The following is a 19576-nucleotide window of genomic DNA, read 5'->3' on the forward strand; positions in this document are numbered from 1 at the left end:
TTTAAGTGATGAGCATGAATGTTCCTAGAAGACAGTCATTAATTGCTTTCTGCATGCAGAGCTGTGGGCTGGCCACACAGTGAGGCCACCTGATGGGTGACCACTGGCCGTGGGACTTTGGATGTATCTGAGTTAGAGAAATGGGAGGGCCATTTCCTATCTGCCCAGATTTGGGGAAAACATATTTCTTAGAGTGGATCATTGAATTGCAATGTGTTCATTTTTTCTCATATATAATAATTAGTTATTTGTTTGCCAAATGAAATAGAAAGATTGCAGGCTTGGGAGTTGGGAGAACTGGATTCTAGACCCACTTGACCTCTAACTGACCAAGTAATGTTGGGGGAAGCCATCTCTGTCCTCTCACTTAGCCTTTTCTATAAAATGAAGGTATTAAATGAGATCAATGGTTATAAAACTTTTAATACTCTTTAATCCCCTCTCCTTTAGACAGGAAACTGTAACAACCACAACAAAAACCATGATTCATAAAAGCTTATCAGAATACTTTTTAAGGTTAAAACCTGTAACTTTAAAAATAGTCCTTGAGAACAATGACGTGTGTCATTGAACATAGAACATGTCATAGAATAATGATGACAGTGTGCGTATGAAATTTGGAATGGTGACGATTGTCATCTTATGCAATTGACCAGGATTGAGAAAAGCTCGATTTACTCAAGATAAGTAGTTGCAAATAACAGTTTTTTTTTTTTTAATAATAGTTTACCTTGAAATTTCAAGATGCTGTGTTGTCAGACAGATGTCAGGCAAAGTTTGAAAATAAGATTTGCACATGGCTGGGAGCAGTAGCTCACGCCTGTAATCCCACCACTTTGGGAGGCCAAGGCAGGAGGATCCTTTGAGCTCAGGAGTTTGAGACTAGCCTGGGCAACATAGTGAGACCTAGTCTGTATTATTAAATAATATTAAAAATTAAAAAAAGAAGATTTGCACAAAAGCTGTTTCACCTGCTACCAGATTAACCCATTCATTGATGGTTTCCACTGTGGTAACATTCCACATGAGAGGTATTTCAACCTGTACTTTAATTATGGCTCTTATTAAGGCTAGTCTGTGTGTTTGTGTCTATGAGGGAGAAACATAAATTGGAATCAGAGTTTTACAAAATGTCAGAACCCTCTGGGGTGCCCTAGATTGCCCCGTGTGGAACTTTGTATGGCAAAGATTCTGCCGATACCAAAGGTTGACCCCTGGTGGCCAGAATGCCACATTGAGCCTGCCCCTGGTTGTACTTGATCTAATGGTTTAAATATGTTAAAAATTAATTGCCTACATTTAAAACTTGAGAGATTATATTATATATTAAAATCTAGATATTTGGCTTCCCTTAGGAAAAAAATCGAGATCTGGCTATAAATAGGGTCACATCTCGCCATGGAACGGTCCACTTTCTCTGTATTGACCCAGCCCCATACAGCTCTGTCTGCTCATTTATGTTGCTTACCTGACCCCAAAGAAGTTTTGCTTTGGCAACCCTCATCTCCACTGTTTGAGGGTATAACTCTCCAGTTTGGTCACTGCATTTTAAAAATTTAATTTAGTGACAGATTTGAATAACAAAGTCCCAAGCTATGTAGATGGCTTCTGGCCAGCTCTAAGAACCTCACTGCTGTTGTGTAGGTAAATGCCCATCCCCTAACCTGTTAGCAAATTGTTTACTTCCTGTTCCTGGCTGGAAGCACAGGGCAGAGAAAAGTACCTGTTTTGTGATTTGGGGGGAATGAGGGCCTAGCTGGATTTCTCAGGCTCCTGCAGGAGACAGAGCTATTTATGGTGACTTATAATCCCCAGAACTAAATCCAGGGAGTGGGTTCATGCTTATCAGCAGCCAAATGGTTTCCATCGTGAGCTTGCTAGTTCCTCTTTGTGTCTAACCACCTGCCTACGTTCCACCTCTCGAGCTTCAGAGTTTCCAAAAGTTTGGCAGCAGCAGGAGGATAAGAAATGTAATCTCACGTTTGTGTCTCCCTGGTGAGGGGATATACCTCTAACTAGGCTGTAATAACAGTATCATTAACAAAGATGATAGCCAACATTTTCTCAGGTGGACTATTTGCTAGGCACTATCCTATGTGTTTTTTTTTTTTTTTTTTTTTTTTTTTTTATTTGAGACAGAGTCTTTCTCTGTTGCCCAGGCTGGAGTGCAATGGCACGATCTTGATTCACTGCAACCTCTTCCTTCCGGGTTCAAGCGATTCTCCTGCCTCAGCCTTCTGAGTAGCTGGGATTACAGGCATGCACCATCACGCCTGGCTAATTTTTGTATTTTTAATTGAAACGGGGTTTCACCGTGTTGGCCAGGCTAGTCTCGAACTCCTGACCTCAGGTGATCCTCCCGCCTTGGCCTCCCAAGGTGCTGGGATTACAGGTGTGAGCCATCATGCCCAACCTGCTCTATGTGTTTTGTATACATTTAATTCCCCCCTAGAGGCCTGTGCAAGAGCTACTGTTGTTATTGCCATTTTAGGGATTAAGAAACTGAGGTCCAGAGAGGTTACTTTGCTGAAGGCCTGTTTACTGCAGGGTAGTAAGCTGCAGAGCTAGGATTTGATTTTCTGCCCAACTTTGACGCATAGCCATGGAATACTTCTTAATTTTTGAATCCTTTGTATTAAAGAAAATGTAAAGCATATAGAAGTAGAGAGAATAGCGTAACAGACCCCCATGTATCATCAGCTGACTTCAGCCATTATCACCTTGTCACTGCCCTCACCCAAGTCCCTTTTCTCACACTTTGCAGCAGACATCAAGCAGCGTATCAGGTCATCTGCCAATACTGTAATTTAATACCTGGCTACGTGACTGCTACCCTGCTACCTCCTGATCAAACCTGTGAAGTCCCCTGTGGTTACAGCATTCTTACATAAAAATAGAAAGCACTTGCAAAAAATCAAAAAGAAAATTGAGAAGGCTGCTAACGTATCTCTGGTTGTTCCTATGATCCAGTAAGGCATTGAAGGATTATTCTGCCGGATTTTACATGGGTGTGAGCATGGGGGAAGTGAGTGATGAGCGTTCTGTGACGATGTTTGTGGAGGAGCTCAGAGATCTTGCAGTTTATTCTTATTGTCAGTGGCTGGCAAGAGGAGAGTCCACAGTGGAGAAGTTAGATAGAATCTCTGGTTAGCTTTTCTTTTTCTTTCTTTTTTTTTTTTTTTTTTTTTGTTTTTGAGACAGGGTCTCACTTTGTCACCGAGGCTGGGGTGCAGTGGTACAATCATGGCTCACTGCAGCCTCGAACTCCCTGGCTCAGATGATTCTCCCACCTCAGCCTCCGGAGTACCTGGGACCACAGGCGTGTGCCACCATGCAGGCTAATTTTTGTATTTTTTGTAGAGACAGTTTCACCATGTTACCCAGGCTAGGCTTGAACTCCTGGGCTCAAGTGATCCACCCGCCTTGGCCTCCCATAGTGCTGGGATTATAGACATGAGCCACTGTGCCTGGCCTAGCTTTTCTATTGATGAGATTTTACCCTTGGCCTTCCAGAACCAAATGGTTTCTACAGCCTAAGTACCACTGAGTGCGTAAGACCAGCTTCGGTTGTGAAAGGGCGTGTGCCTTCAGCCACGTGGGAAAACTCCATTCCTTTCCCTCCCTTTCTTAGTGCCCTGGCCCCTGCTTCTGTGACCCCCGCCTCTGGCATGGCCCCTTCTCTTGTCCAGCTGGTAACTTCTCCTGGGGCCCGACTCAGAGATGACATTTCCCTGTAGCCTTTTAGCTACCAGAAGAAATTAGTTTATCTATTATTTTAGTCACTCATCCAGTAAATGTGTGCGTGACCCAAGAGGCACAGTGGTTAACAATACAGCTGTTTCTCCTGACCTCACTGGCCCTTTGCTGGGGTGGGAAGGTCCTGGGATGTTGCCCAGAGTGACATAAGGCCCAGTGCCACCCCTGTCCCTTGGTTAGGTAGAATCTGACCACATAACCCTCCATGGTAATGCCGAACATAAATTAACTGCTGCCTCCACGGTGCACCCGTAGCATCTAGAATATTCTGTGATTGCTGGAATCTCATTTATTGTGTGTACATATGTACGTGTAGTGTGGGATGCTAGAGATTTACCAAGGTGGGCCTGGGTTGAAATTCTGGCCCTTGGACTTGTTAGGAGAAAAGTCCTTGCCTCCCTGGGCCTGTTTCTTGTTTCTGAAATGGGGCTTATTTTACTACCTGATGGGATCAGCAGGAGGAGTGACTGAGACTGTCACCGTCTTGCCCCAGCTCATGGAGCCCATGTTCATTTCCTGGGGCCGCTGTGGCAAGTACTGCAACTCGTGGCTTAAAAATAACAGAAGTGTCGGGCACGGTGGCTCACGCCTGTAATCCCAGCACTTTGGGAGGCCAAGGCGGGCGGATCGCGAGGTCAGGAGATCGAGACCATCCTGGCTGACACGGTGAAACCCTGTCTCTACTAAAAATACAAAAAAAATTAGCTGGGCATAGTGGCGGGTGCCTGTAGTCCCAGCTACTTGGGAGGCTGAGGCAGGAGAATGGCGTGAACCTGGAGGCGGAACTTACAGTGAGCCGAGATTGCGCCACTGCACTCCAGCCTGGGCGACACAGCGAGACTCCGTCTCAAACAAACAAAACAACAAAACACAGAAGTTTATTCCCTCACTGTACTGGAGGTTAAAAGTCCAAAATCCAGGTGTTGGCAGGGCCACACCCCTCGGAAGGCTCCAGGGAAGGATGTGTTCCAGACATCTTTCATGGCTTCTAGTGGCTGCCAGCAATGCTTCAAGCATTCCTCGGAGTGTGGACACCGCCTGGCTGCTGGTGGCTGCCAGCAGTCCTACAAGTGTTCCTCGGTGTGTAGATGGCATTGCTCTTTGGTGTGCAGACACCATCACTCCTCGGCATGTAGGCGTCATCGCTTCTTGGCGTGTAGATGTCATTGCATCGCTCCTTGGCTTGTAGATGTCATTGCATCGCTCCTTGGCTTGTAGATGTCATTGCATCGCTCCTTGGCTTGTAGATGTCATTGCATCGCTCCTTGGCTTGTAGATGTCATTGTGCCAGTCTCTGCCTCCATCATCACATGGACCCCTTTTCTCTGTGTGCTTCTCTGTCTCCAAATCTCCCTCTTTTTTTTTTAATTTTTTTTTTTTTTTTTTTTTTTTTTGAGAGGGAGTCTCGCTCTGTCACCCAGGCTGGAGTGTAGTGGCGCCATCTCGGCTCACTGCAAGCTCTGCCTCCCGGGTTCACGCCATTCTTCTGCCTCAGCCTCCCGAGTAGCTGGGGACTACAGGCGCCCACCACCACGCCTGGCTAATTTTTTGTATTTTTTTAGTAGAGATGGGGTTTCACTGTGTTAGCCAGGATGGTCTCCATCTCCTGACCTAGTGATCCGCCTGCCTCGGCCTCACAAAGTGCTGGGATTACAGGTGTGAGCCACCGTGCCCGGCCCAAATCTCCCTCTTTTAAGAAGCCAGGCACTGGATTCGGGTCCACCCTAACCCAGCAAGGCCTCATCTTAACTTGATTGCACCTTGCAAAGACCCTAATTCCAAAGAAGGTCATGCCCATGGGTACTGGGTATTAGGACTTGGACATATATTCCCGGGGACACCATCCTATACATAATACTAGCTATAACTTTTTCTATCTTTAGAACGTCTTCCTTGATCACCTGTGCCCCATACTGTCAACTACAGCCCCATTTATCTGCCCCCTTTAAAGTAACCTACTCCAAGAGCTGTCTACGCTTCCCTTCTTCCTACTGTCTCTTGAGTCTATTCCCGTCTTGTTTCCATCCCTGCCTCCTAGAGCACTTCATCTTGGCACGTCAGCCATCACCTCCATGTGTTGCGAATCCAGAAGTCTGCCCCGTGGTCTTTATCTTGTCCACTCAGCAGCACGTGTCAAAGCTGGTCACTCTCTCCTTGATGTTGTAACTTGCCTTTGGGATGCCCGACTGTCTTCCTTATCTTGCCTCTCACTGTTGGTTCTCTTGCAGCGTTTGTGGCTCTTGGCTTTCATTTGTTCTTTTTCATTCTCTGTCCTGCTCTGCGTCCCAGGGGCCAATTCCTGCAAACACGTTCCCAGGTGCCTGTGCCAATGAGCTTCCGGTTGCTTCAACAAGCAGAGTGTCCGGGCAGGGAGTTGCAAGACCTGGCAGAGGAGGGGAAGCCAGGTCTTTCCTGGTTCTGGGAGCATCTGTACCATGGTGGTACCTCTGCCATTGTCCGAGCTCCCTGAGTGGGGGAATGCGGTGCGGGCTTTTTCTGTGCTTTGTTGAAAGGAATGTAAAGGAAGGAGAGGGCTGAAGAATTGCATGTGGTGGTCAGTGAGGGGGGCCACACACTGGGCTCCCTCCAGATGTAAATAAGCTGGGTGTGGGGCTTTGGGCTTGGAAGTGTTCTAGCCCCTGATGCCTTCAGCAGCAGGCTGACTTGGTGACCTAAGCAGTAAATGAGTCCAAATAGCAACATGCCCTGTCTAAAATCTGCAACACCACCCCTTTTTAAAAAGAAATACCTATGCTGTAAATTACACATCAACGAAAGGAAGTACTTCTCAGTTTGCCTAAAAAGGCTAAGTTTGCGGCTCTTAACCTTTTGGTGGGACCTACTCCTTTGAGATGCTGATTATGTCTCCAGAAGAAACACACACCCACACAAACTGATGTGGACTCTCTGATGCTTCTCAGAGGCCTGCGATTCCCTTTCTAGAACCCTGATAGTCCCCATGACGTCCTGGGCTGCAAGGAGTTCAGCAAGAGGACCCTGGGTCATCTGGGGTAGGAGATGTTTTATGTCGTTAGCATTGATCATGTGATAGTGGATACATTTCCCTAAGTGCTTATCCAATCGCAGTGTCATTGAAGACTGTTGAAGCAAGGCTACCTGGGCAGAAATGGACAAGATGTGGGTGTGCAGGGTGCCTGTGTACAATGCACAGAAAATGGGCTGGTGCAAGTAGAAGCTGGAGGGAGGGGTGCTCCATGGCGCCCCCCTTGGTGGAAGAGCCTCTTCATCATGCAACAGTTGGCACGGCAGTGGGCTGTGAAGAGAGGAGCTGAAGCAGTCCGATATTTCTTTCGTCTTCTTGCCTTCGAAGATTAGAAATGCATCTTTGAAATACTAAAGATTTGAAATGTTGCCTGTAATCCCAGCTACTGAGGGGGCTCAGGAGGGAGCATCTCTTGAGGCCAGGAGTTCAAGACCATCCTGGGCAACATAGTAAGACCTGCATCTCTACAAAAAGAAAAAATATTAGCCGGGCATGGTGGCGCATGCCTGTAGTCCTAGTTACGCAGGAAGCTAATACAGGAAGATCATGTGAGCTCAGGAGAGTGAGGCTGTGGTGAACTATGGTCGTGCCACTGCACTCCAGCCTGGGTAACAGTGAGACCCCATCTCTAAAGAAACCTGGCAGTGAGGATATAGAAAAAGGTATGTGTACCCCAGTGGAGGTGCCTATCTCAACTGTTTTGAGAGCACCTTGGCAGAATTTATCAAAGCCAATGTGCCTACAATGTGCTGTGTCTACGCGCTTTTCCTTCTAGGACTCTACTCTGTAGAAAAACTGGCACAAGTGGGCAAAGATAGAGAAATAGGCACACAGGGACACTTAAAAATAATACTAGATGTTACAAAAATCAAGTGACATGCTTATTGTGGAATACAATGGTTTTTCAAAGAAAGGAAACAGGGTTATTTGAGGTTGCAGAATAATATGTAAAGCTTGAAACACAGCAAAAAATTGTGAGATGTACGTAAATGTTATAATATGATATGATACCATTAAATGAATATCCCTAAAACAAATTCTAGAAGGAAACCTATGAAATGCTTAAGGGTGACTGCTTCTTGGGAATACGACTGTGGAGGGAATGAGGAGGGCTTCTACCTTTTGCTTCTTAAGTTTCTGTTATATTTGAATATTTACAACTAACATCAACTAAAATGATATTTTTAATGATCTTGTTGCATCTGACAAAATGATGCTTTTTTAACAACAAAAATCTTTCCGTTTTTGCATTAAGTGACTTGTCTAAGGTTCTTTTTTTTGTGTGTGCTTTCCATTTCAGATTCTCGATGAATTCAAAAAGGATTCGTCCGTGTTCATCCTGGGGTGAGGCAGCTCTTGTGTGTCGTTCGGGGCGGCTGTGCCGGACCTCGGTGCCTGGTGCCCAGCCGGCCTCCAGGAGGGGATGCCTGTGTGTGCAGGCGCTGACCTCCAAAGGGGCAGGGGGCCCCTGCTGGGGAATTGGCCATCCCATGCCTGTGGCGTGGATAGAGATGAGCAGTAGCAACAGGAAGGTGTGGAGCACTGGGAGGATGGTCCAGAAAGTTCTGTAGAAAAGCCTGTGTGCCTCAGGGCCTCCTTTCCCCGAATGTGCCTCATGAGATGTGACAGGTTAATAGTTTTTTTTTTTAATTACAAAAACTAATGTTAATGATCAAATAAGTGAAAAATTCCTTGTTAAACAGGTTTAACTGAATTAAAATGAGTTCAGGTGTATAAACTGCTTCACATGATGCTTGGCACCCATGAGGGGCTGATAGATAGTAATATTATTACTAAAAAGTCAGAGTTGCAGGACTTATCAGGACATTCACTGTGCCTCATGATTTCCCAAGTGGGGAATTTCTGAGATGTTATGTGTTTCCCCAGCCTATCTGACTGGGAGAAATGTTGGCCCTGGAGTTAATGGTCTGGGGTACGTTGATCCAGTCTTTATCGGTGAGCAACTTTTCCCTCTGTCACTTTTGAAATCAGAAACTCCAAGACTCCAAAGTATAAATAAAATGAATCTAATTTTTATATAGTATGTATATTCGAGACGGAGCCTCCCTTTGTCGCCTAGGCTGGAGTGCACTGGCGCAATCTTGGCTCACTGCAACCTCCACCTTCCAGGTTCAAGCGATTCTCCTGCCTCATCCTCCGAATAGCTGGGACTACAGGCATCCATCATGTCCAGCTATTGTTTTTTTTTTTTTTGTATTTTTGGTAGAGATGGGGTTTCACCATGTTGGCCAGTCTGGTGTTGAACTCATGACCTCAGGTGATCCACCTGCCTTGGCCTCCCGAAGTGCTGGGATTACAGGCATGTGCCACTGTGCCCAGCCATAATTTCTATGTAGTATTTTAATGAAAACTTAGTGTTAGACTGTGAGGCTGGTGGGGAAAGGTTAGAATTGTACTCATAATCAAAGACAACAGACTCCTGGACCCTGAGTGTTTAGTAAAGGGAGAAAGCTCAGGGCATGTTTCATCTCTTACACTATTTGAAATAGACCTCTTTTCCCCAGGCTCCTGCAAGTGCTCAGGGAAACATACCCATTACCCTGGGAAGCCCCGTGTAGCAGAATGTACTCCCCATCCAACCCGGGGGTGGCTCGTGCTGGCCCAGTGAGGCCCTGTTTTTCTGGTGGCCTGCTGGCCAAGGCGGGAGTCCTGCCTTTATTCGGAGTGTAGTGTTCCCTAGTGTTCCCTACCTGATACCTAACCTCTGCTTGGTCCAGGGAAGTGTCTTTCACACTGCAGTTAATTTTGCCCTGATGGCCTGGAGTCTGGTGGGGCCTCATGTGGCTCCCACTCCAGAGCACTCAATGACCCAGGGAACTCTGGATCGTGGCTTCTGAGGAGGCCCTTGGGTCTGGCTCCTGTCCTTTCTCCAACACCAGCTCTCCCTCTACGGGCGGGTGGTGTGTCGAGCCCTGTCTGGGTATTGGATAGGCACACTCACATCCCTGTGTTCCCCACACCTTTTGCTCTGCAATCCCTCCCTCTGGCCTGCGTTCCCTCGCTCCTACTCCTCTTTCTTTCCTCCCCTCCCTTCTCTTTTTTCCTCGAGGCCGCTGCTTCTCTGGTTTCCTTGCCAGGTACTCTCTGCACCTCCTTCTTGCTCACCCCACCTCATTCTTGCTCACCCCACCTCATTCTGGCTCACCCCACCTCGTTCTGGCTCATCCCACCTCACTCTCTGGAGCTCAAGTAGGTGCCTTTTCCTCAGGAAAGCCCCTCTGGTCCTCCAGGTCTGGGTTTGGGGCCTTCTCAGCCATTCCCACTCTTCCCCTCCCTTCCCACCCTCATCTCTTGCTACACTGTATCCCATATGCCTGGTTCACCTGTCTTCCCCATGGCCACACTCCTGGAGGGGCTCCTCAGACTCTGGGGTGCACCAGAGCTATTTTGGAGCAGCTAAATGTAGACACCAGGGCCTGCCCCTTGAGATTCCGATGTCAGGGTCCCTCTGAATCCTTGTAGGTGAGGGACATTGTGTCACTCACCTGTGTCTTCCTGTTGGCCAACCTGGTACCTAACACAGTGCCAGACTAAGTGGGGCGTTCTGGGTGGCAGGCTGCCCCATTGGCTGGCATCTCCTCTCGACTCCTCTGTTGAATGTGTCTGTCTCTAACTGCACCCCCTTTCCCCGAGGATAGGAACACTGACAGGCCGGATGCCTCTGCTGTTTACCTGCATGACTTCCAGAGGTTTCTCATACATGAACAGCAGGTGAGAGCACAAGGTGTGTGGGTGCCTGAGGGAGCTGGCGGGATGCTGCTGGGGACTAGTCTCACCCTTCTGCCGCCTGTGCTCACCTGGTCACCTGTGCTCACCTGGCCACCTGTGCTCACCTGGCCACCTGTCTTCATGGAACGATTGCAGTCTGCCAGATGCCAGAGACTTCAGATTGCTGTCTGATGCCACTGAAACTCTGGATGAGAAGAGCCTCATGTCGGGCCTCTTTTGAAGGCACACATTGAGGATGAGAAGACTGAGAAGATGGCAGGGCAGGAGGGGTGAGGGCCTGAGGATGGGGCTGCCCTCACCTGGCTGGGTGCACCTTTTCTGGCCATCATCTCAGGTGTCACTGCCTGGGAAGCCTTCCTTGACTGATGGGAGGATGGGATCAGATTCATCAAGCCTGCCAGGTCCCCTGGGAGATAAACTAGCACAGCTTTCCTTAAACAGGTGATGCCTGGGACAGTCTCCCTGGACAGGGTTTGCCTGTGGGCTCTGAGCCCAGCTATAGACTCAAGGGGGGGTTGTGTTGCGCCTTGGTTTTCCACTGCTGTGACGATGCCCCCAGAGGACACTGGGCAGTGTCCAGAGACGACATGGGTGCGTGTCACAGCGGGAGGCTGCTGCCGGCATCTAGCAGGTCAACACCAGGGATGTTCCTAAATATCCTACATTGCACAGGGCAGCCCCCCCTACCCCCCAGCGAAGAAGTATTCAGGGCCGGGTAGGGTGGCTCACGCCTATAATCCCAGCACTTTGGGAGGCCGAGGCGGGCGGATCACTTGAAGCCAGGAGTTCGAGACCTACCTGGCCAACATGGTGAAACCCCATCTCTACTAAAAATACAAAAATTAGGCAGGCATTGTGGTGGGTGCCTGTAATCCCAGCTACCTGGGAGGCTGAGGCAGGAGAATGGCTTGAACCTGGGAGGTAGAGGTTGCAGTGAGCCGAGATTGCGCCACTGGACTGCAGCCTGGGCAACAGAGCAAGACTCCGTCTCAGAAAACAAAAAACAAAAACACCCCCACCCCACCAAAAAAAAAAAAGTCAAAGAAGTATTCAGCACCAAGTACCTACAGTGCTGAGGACAAGAAACTCTGTGAGAGTGAGATCAACTTGAAATCATCTTACCAGCTGCACAGCCACCGACAGGTGGTTTACCCTTTTTGTGCCCCAGTTTCCCCCTCTTTAAGTGGGATTGAGAGCATCTACCTCTGAGAATTGTGGGGATCAGAGTCAATTGTATGGATCTGTGTGTGTGTGTGTGTGTACATGTATGCATGTCTTTTCACATATAAATCTCAAATTTTTGTTTATATCATTGGAGTTCCATTTACTTTTTTCTTTTACTTCATTTGTTTTTTTTTAAATAGAGTTTATATTTTAGAGTAGTTTTAGGGTTGCAGCAAAAATAAGTTCATTTACTTAAAAAACCTCTTGTCTTGCAGAACATTTCAAACATACACAAAAGCAGACAGACGGTTTAATGAACCACCACGTATCATCACTCAGATTAAAAATTACGAGCATTTTGCAATTTTTTTTTTGTTTGAGATAAGGTCTCACTCACCCCCTTGCCCAGGCTGGAGAGCAGTGGCATGGTAACAGCTCACTGCAGCCTCGACCTCCTGGGCTCAACCGATCCTCCTGCCTCAGCCTCCCGAATAGCTGGGACTACAGGTATGTGCCACCATGCCTGACAATTTTTTTTTTTTTTTTGAGATAGAGTCTTGCTCTGTCACCAGGCTGGAGTACAATGGCTCTGTCCCATGTTCAAGTGATTCTCCTGCCTCAGCCTCCCAAGTAGCTGGGATTGCAGGCGTCTGCCACAACACCTGTATTTTTGTATTTTTAATAGAGTCGGGGTTTCACAATGTTGGTCAGCCTGGTCTTGAACTCCTGGCCTCAGGTGATCCACCCGCCTTGGCCTCCCAAAGTGCTGGGATTACAGGTGTGAGCCACCACGCCCAGCCCCGACTAATTTTGTATCTTTAGTAGAAACAGGATTTCCCCATGTTGCTCAGGCTGATCTCCAACTCCTGGGCTCAAGTGACTCACCTGTCTCAGCTCCCCAAATTGCTGGGATTACAGATGTGAGGCACTGTGCCCGGCCCACTTTGCCAGTTTTATTTCATCCACTTCTAACTTTACACTCCTGTATCTCCCTACCCTTCCCCTTTCTTCATTTCTTTGCTGAAGAATTCTAAAGCAAACCCCAGACTTTGCGTCATTTTGTTTGTAAATACTTCTGTATGTTTCTCTCACAGATAGAACTTTTTTTTTTAAAATATAGCCATAACACTCCTCTTACAGCTTGTGCAATTAACAGTAATTTTTAAATGCCATCCGATACCCAGCCTGCATTTGGATTTCATTGATGGAAGAGAAACTTATGAGTAGAGAAGACATGTTTTGCACAAGGCCATCCACACTGAGGGCTCAGGAAAGGGTCGTAGCTACCCTAGTAGGCTGATAAATGGTGAATGAGGATGTTGATGCGTGTTGTAATCATCATGCCTTCCTAGTGCCGGGGTTGAATGATGATGATCAAAAGAAGGCTTATTTGCCCAACCTGAGACTAAGTTTGAGGGAGGAAGTAAAATGAAGGTAATAAGTTAATTTTATTGGGCACAGTCACGTTAGGTCTGAGCTGGTGCTAGAGTGAGGTAGAGAGAAATTCATGCACTTTTTTCCCTTCATTATTTTCCTTCCACTAAATTATTCAGTTTAGTAGGGAACGATTAAAGTTAAATTGGTTAAATTCTTGGGGACAAGTAGCCTCGCATCCTAGAATTCACCACCTGGTAGGGAGACTGGGGCGTGTAGATTTACCCCACCTAGTGGTGGTTGACTTTATTACGTGCTTTCCCCAAACGGGGCCCTTTGCTGGGCTGCCCTTAGAGATCAGGGATCTGGGGCCAGGAGAAAGTGTAGGAAATCTCTCTCTCTGCATCTGGGGAGTTAGGACCCGAGCAGCCATGAGCATCCATGCGATGTTTGTTGGTCACACAGATGCTCATATGGAATAATCACTGCAGCACTTTGTGTGCAAATTAGTATGCCTTTTCTAGAAAACACTTTGGCTGTATGCAATGAAAAGAAAGCTTTACAACTCGATTCTATATCTGGAGTAAATAGTTGCCCTCCCAGACACTTATCCTAAGGAAATAATGGCAGCATTTTTAATAGGAATGAAAACTTGGAAGTAATCTAAATTTCTTTAGAGGATTGGTTAAGTACGCCATAGTACAGCTCTGGGATGGATGGGTGATGGGATAGGAAGGGGGTTAAAAGTATGTTTCTAGAATCAGTGTTTCTGGGTTTAGTCTGAGGCTCATGACTGGGACCACTTACTTAATGACTAGAAGCCTCTCCTCTGTTTCCCCATTTATATAACATGGAGAATAACCTGTACCTCCTGGGGTGGTGGTAAGTTCAAGATGAGACACCGTGTGGGGCCGAGTATAGAGTCAGTGCTCAGTGTTGATGGCCATCGCCATTTATTTTTATTTTCATCCTTATTCTTTGCCATTTTCACTATTACAGGTATCTAGTGCAATACCCTACACCAAGTGGATGCATTTTATAACCCCTAGAATATTGACATTTCAGTCTTCTTTAGGTAGAAGATTTCTTTCTTTGCAGCCAGTCCAGGGCCAGGTTATATTAGCTAAGTACCCATGCCTTTTGATAAATGCAAAAACTTTGTAGGGGGAAGGAAGGAGAATGCCTCCAGCCTCTTTGGGACATCTTGGCCAGGCAAAGTTGTTTTTTTTTTTTTTCTTTTGAGATGGAGTCTCGCTCTGTCACACAGGCTGGAGTACAGTGGCGCGATCTCTGCTCACCGCAAACTCTGTCTCCTGGGTTCACGCCATTCTCCTGCCTCAGCCTCCCGAGTACCTGGGACTACAGGCACCCGCCACCACGCCCAGCTAATTTTTTGTGTTTTTAGTAGAGACGGGGTTTCACCGTGTTAGCCAGGATGGTCTCGATCTCCTGACCTCATGATCCGCCCACCTCGGCCTCCCAAAGTGCTAGGATTACAGGCATGAGCCACCACGCCCGGCCTAGTATTTTAATAAAATATCCCACAATTTGGGTTTCATGTTCTAGTATTCAAAGATTCTGACACCTCTGTATTCAAATGAGCTTGTAGTTTCCCACCTTCCTAGCTGTTTTGGGCCCCTGATCCAGGCATATTTGCAAGAGTCAACAGCAGTTCATTTTTGTCTTGCACCCATGCATGTCACCAGCCTGCTGGTCACCACCTGATTTGTGTCTGTTCTTCTATTTTTCATTGTTTCGGACATTGCATCCAGCCCTTCCCATCTAAGCACACACACATCTGGTCGCATATTTGCTTCTATTAGTCATAAAGATAAAGTTGTTAGAATATTTGAAGTGAAGAAAGCATTGATCAAAGTTGAATTTACATGTCATATTTCATCCCCTTTTCCTATGAATATTTGGGATTTCAGGGCATGGAGAGGAAAGCAACAGTTACTTAATATTATGCATTCTTTTTTTAAAGGGTTTCTAGAATGTCTAGGACTGTGCAGCAGCTGCTTTGGAACTGGTCATGTATATTTCAGACGTTATCAGTGTTTCAGCAGCCCTGTTTGCCTATTCTTTTGAAAAGAGGGCATATGATTACATTCCATATCAGTTTCGTTATTTGGAGCTGAGACTCTGCAGTTTACAAGCTGTGTGAGCTTAGGATCATGAGGTATTGTTCCTGGGCCTCTGTTTCCTTTTCTGTAAAATGACAATGGCAATAAATGACTTGCGGAGTTGTGTGGACTAAGTGAGATGACCATAGGAGGAAGAAAGATGCTTGTTTGCACAAGCTGCCACGGTCAGAGTACTTTCTTTTTTTTTGAGACAGAGTTTCACTCTGTTGTCCAGGCTGGAGTGCAATGGTACAACCTCGGTTCATTGCAACCTCCGCCTCTTGGGTTCAAGCAATTCTCTTGCCTCAGCCTCCTGAGTAGCTGGGATTACAGGCACCTGCCACCACGCCAAGCTGATTTAAAGAAAAAAAAAATGTTTGTATTTTAGTAGAGATGGGGTTTCACCATGTTGGCCAGGCTGGTCTCAAACTCCTGAGCTCAGGCAGTCCACCCGCCTCGGCCTACCAAAGTGGGTCTGAGCACTTTCTGTGCACCAGGTGCTGCATTAGGCACATAACCTAATAAGATTTTATACAATGCTTCATACAGTGTACATTTCATACAATGCTTCACAGAAACTGTGTGGTAGATACTCTTATTCCCACTTCATGGATGGGGAGGCACAGAGACGGTATGTAACTTGCCCAAGGTCAACTAGGTGGAATGAGATGCCAACCCAGGTAAGTGACCTGGAAGGCTGATGTAACTACTATGCCCCCAGGCTGCTTCATACTAACAAACGTAAAGAGCTATCATAGGGCAGGAGCTGGCAAACCATGACCTATGGACCAAATATAGCTGACCACTTGTTTTTATAAACAAAATATTGTTGGAATACAACCATGCCCATTTGCCTACGGATCATCTGTGGCTGCTTTTGCAACACAACAGCGGAGTTGAGTGGTTGCGACAGACACCGTATGGCTCAGAGAGCCCAAAATATTTACCTCTGGCTCTCTGCAGAGAACATTTGCTGACCCCTGGCAGAGGGCCATGTGCAGAATGAGGCCTCAACATGTGGTGGTCGATTGCAAGTGAATTCGGAATTGGTTGATGTTTCAGTCTTCGATTGCGACTGGATGGACCCTGGGAAATGAAGAATTTTATCAGTTCTCACTTTGCTGATCTCTCGTTCTCTTTGTCATTTTAAGGAGCATTGGGCTCAGGATCTGAACAAAGTCCGTGAGCGGATGACAAAGTTCATTGATGACACCATGCGTGAAACTGCTGAGCCTTTCTTGTTTGTGGATGAGGTGAGTAGGCTGGGCTTGTTGTCGCTTGGGGGTGACTTTTTGATTGATGTCTGTGCTTTCTGAGGTTTATTTTCTGTTTGTCTTTCCTTGGAGAACTTTGCTGTATGATGTTGCCTCGACTGACTGGTTAGCTGGGATTGTTTCTTTTCTTTTCTTTTCTTTTTTCTCCCAGGTTCTAGATTACTGTAACTGTAACTGCCCAGTGGGTTCATTTTGCCTGCTGCCTAGACAGAACCGATTGATCAAGGCAGGGGAATTGCAATAGGGAAAGAGCTTAACTCACTTAGAGCCAGCTGAATGGGAGACTGGAGTTTTATTATTACTCAAATCATCCTCCCTTTCAGAGGCTGGAGTTTCGTTTTTTTATGTTTTTGTTTGTTTGCTTGTGTGTTTGTTTTTGAGATGGAGTCTCAGTCTGTCACCCAGCCTGGAGTGCAGTGGTGGGATCTCACCTCACTGCAACCTCCGCCTCCCAGGTTCAAGTGATTCTCGTGCCTCAGCCTCCCGAGTAGCTGGGATTATAGGCGCTGTCCACCATGTCTGGCTAATTTTTTTTGTATTTTTAGTAGACAGGGTTTCACTATGTTGGCCAGGCTGGTGTCGACTTCCTGACCCTTGTGATCAGCCCGCCTCAGCTTCCCAAAGTACTGGGATTATAGGTGTGAGCCACCGCACCTGGCGGAGGCTAGGGTTTTTTTTTAAAGATTGTTTGGCGGGCCAGGGAAAGGGTGCTGCTGATTGGTTGGAGATGCAATCATATGGTTGTGGAAAATAGTGTGCTTCTGGGTGGGGCCACAGGACCAGTGGGCGGTCCAGGTAGAGCCATGCGAACGCCCGAAAAGACGTCTCAAAAGGCCAATCTTAGGTTAAACCACAGTGATGTTATCTGTAGGAGTAACTGAGGAAGTTGCTAATCTTGTAACCTCCAGAAAAATGGCTGGTAACCAGTTAGTCTCCACCTTAGCAGAATCCAGGCTCCTCTCATCCTCCTAACCTGGTCTTACCTTAGCTTTACAAAGGCAGTTTATTTTGGGGGAAGGGCTGGTATTTAAACTATAAACTAAATGTTTTCCAAAGTTAGCTTGGCCCAAGCCCAGGAATAATTAAGGGCAGTTTGGAGGTTAAAGGCAAGATAGAGGTTGGTTAGATCAGATCTGTTTCACTGTCATAATTTTCTTGTTGTTCTGATTTTGGAAAGGCAGTTTCATAGCCCTTTCTTACTCTTCTCTACTGACCGTGTTGCCTGGGTGGGATTATTGATTTTGCCACTAGAGGGCATCTGCCACCAGGGAGAGTTGAACCATTGCAAGCACAGAAACAGAATGCGAAGGTGTCTGGGTGCTTGCTGGTCAGAATGGTTGCCTTTGACCTTGCATAGGGAAGGAGGGGAGGTGGAACTGGGGAGCGACTGACCCATATGAGGTCGTTCTCACGCAGCAGAAATTAGGCCCAGATCGCTAAAGCATTTTTTTTTAAGGGGCCAGGAATTGTAACTTGAAATTTCCTGCCCTTTCAACATTCTGATATGGATAACACTCTGTTTCTTAAGTTGGGTCGTGGGTTCACAAATATTCATGCTACTATTATGCTTTAAATTGTATATATGAGGCCGGGTGCAGTGGCTCACGCCTGTAATCCCAGCACTTTGGGAGGCTGAGGCGGGTGGATCGCTTGAGGTTAGGAGTTTGAGACCAGCCTGGCCGACATGGTAAAATTCTGTCTCTACTAAAAATACAAAAATTAGCCTGGTGTGGTGGTGCACGCCTGTTATCCTAGCTGCTTGGGAGGTTGAGGCAGGAGAATCGCTTCAACCCAGGAGGTGGAGGTTGCAGTGAGCTGAAATTGTGCCACTGCACTCCAGCCTGGGCAACAGAGCATGACTCAGTGTGAAAAAACAAAGAAAGAAAAACCAACAACAATGTATATATGGTAAGCATAAACCCTTGCAGTAGCAAATATTTTAGGATAAACATTACAAAGGAAAATATTGTCTAGGTCCATGGAACAAATATGTCGCTGCAGCCCATTGCAGCCTGAGCCTTCGGTATTGAAAACGTGGGTAACTGAGGTCTGGAGACCGCCTGTTGATTTCCCGCATCAGAGCTGTTCTTCCCCCCTGGTGGGCGCAGACCAGAAACAAGCAGACACCATCCTGCCCGTCAACGTGATGATTCGGTCTTCGTGTTTGACTCTTTTAGTTCCTCACGTACCTGTTTTCACGAGAAAACAGCATCTGGGATGAGAAGTATGACGCGGTGGACATGCAGGACATGAACAACCCCCTGTCTCATTACTGGATCTCCTCGTCACATAACACGTGAGTTTCAGATGAGCCTGTGATGGGTTGGGCAGCACAGAGCACGTGAGGGTTGAGGCAGGGGTCCGATACGCCGCTCCGGTGAGCCCTGTTGTGAAGCAGGTGGAGGGTGTAGCACCGCATTCCTTGGACTAAAATACACAGAAGCTTCTGGAAGGGGCTGGGAACACACTTCCCTTTGTCAGCTGGCATTGTAATAATAATCTCTTTTCTGTGGCCCTAAAAAGCTAGTAAAAACAAAAGTAACTTAGTTTATGTAACTTAGTAACTAAAGTAACATAGTAAACTTAGTTTTTCACGATTTGGGCATCTCACAGTAGCCACAGCAAAGCAATTCAGTGACTCATTGAATTGACTTATAGGGAGTGTGTACCCTGTGCCTGCTGGGAGCTGGGGATGTGGCTGTGAACCGGCAGCAGCCATGTCCTCATGTGCTGGGAGGAAGACCTCCATTGAAAGTTAACCACAGAATAGGACTTGCTGATGTGGGGAGCAGGTGGTAAGGCAAGGAGAAGTGTTTCAGACAGAGGAGCAGCATGTGCCAAGGCCCTGGGGCAGGAACAACTGAGAGGAGTCTGCTAAGGCTGGAGTGCAGAATCCAGGAGAGCGGTGTCAGGAGGGGAGGAAGGCAGGTCCTGCTGGAGCAGGATCTTGTAGGTCACCGTGAGAGCTGTCGGGGAGACCCTGACGACTTTTAACCAGAAGATGAGATGCTCACAGGGGGCTCTTGGGATGGTTACTCTGATTGCAACAGAAGGAGGATACAGGATGTTGCGCTGATGTTCCAGTATTTAGTCTGTCTTATTGGGTGAGGGGTGAAGTCCTTGGGTGATGG

At 47.0% G+C, this 19576-nt stretch overlaps 1 protein-coding gene across 4 annotated transcripts in view; it reads left to right on the forward strand.

The window, feature by feature from the left end:
* The window catches only part of PLCG2 (phospholipase C gamma 2), a 223645-nt gene that overhangs the window by 133809 nt on the left and 70260 nt on the right, over nt 1–19576 (forward strand). For all 4 annotated transcript variants that reach the window (NM_001425751.1, NM_001425749.1, NM_001425750.1 and 1 more), the window contains 4 exons: nt 8061–8104; nt 10420–10492; nt 16323–16424; nt 18623–18741. In NM_001425751.1, the coding sequence (NP_001412680.1) occupies nt 8061–8104; nt 10420–10492; nt 16323–16424; nt 18623–18741 (338 nt within the window). The remainder of the gene's footprint in view (nt 1–8060; nt 8105–10419; nt 10493–16322; nt 16425–18622; nt 18742–19576) is intronic.

The sequence above is a fragment of the Homo sapiens genome, chromosome 16 (genome assembly GCF_000001405.40).
Source record: "Homo sapiens chromosome 16, GRCh38.p14 Primary Assembly".
NCBI classification, from domain to species: domain Eukaryota; kingdom Metazoa; phylum Chordata; class Mammalia; order Primates; family Hominidae; genus Homo; species Homo sapiens.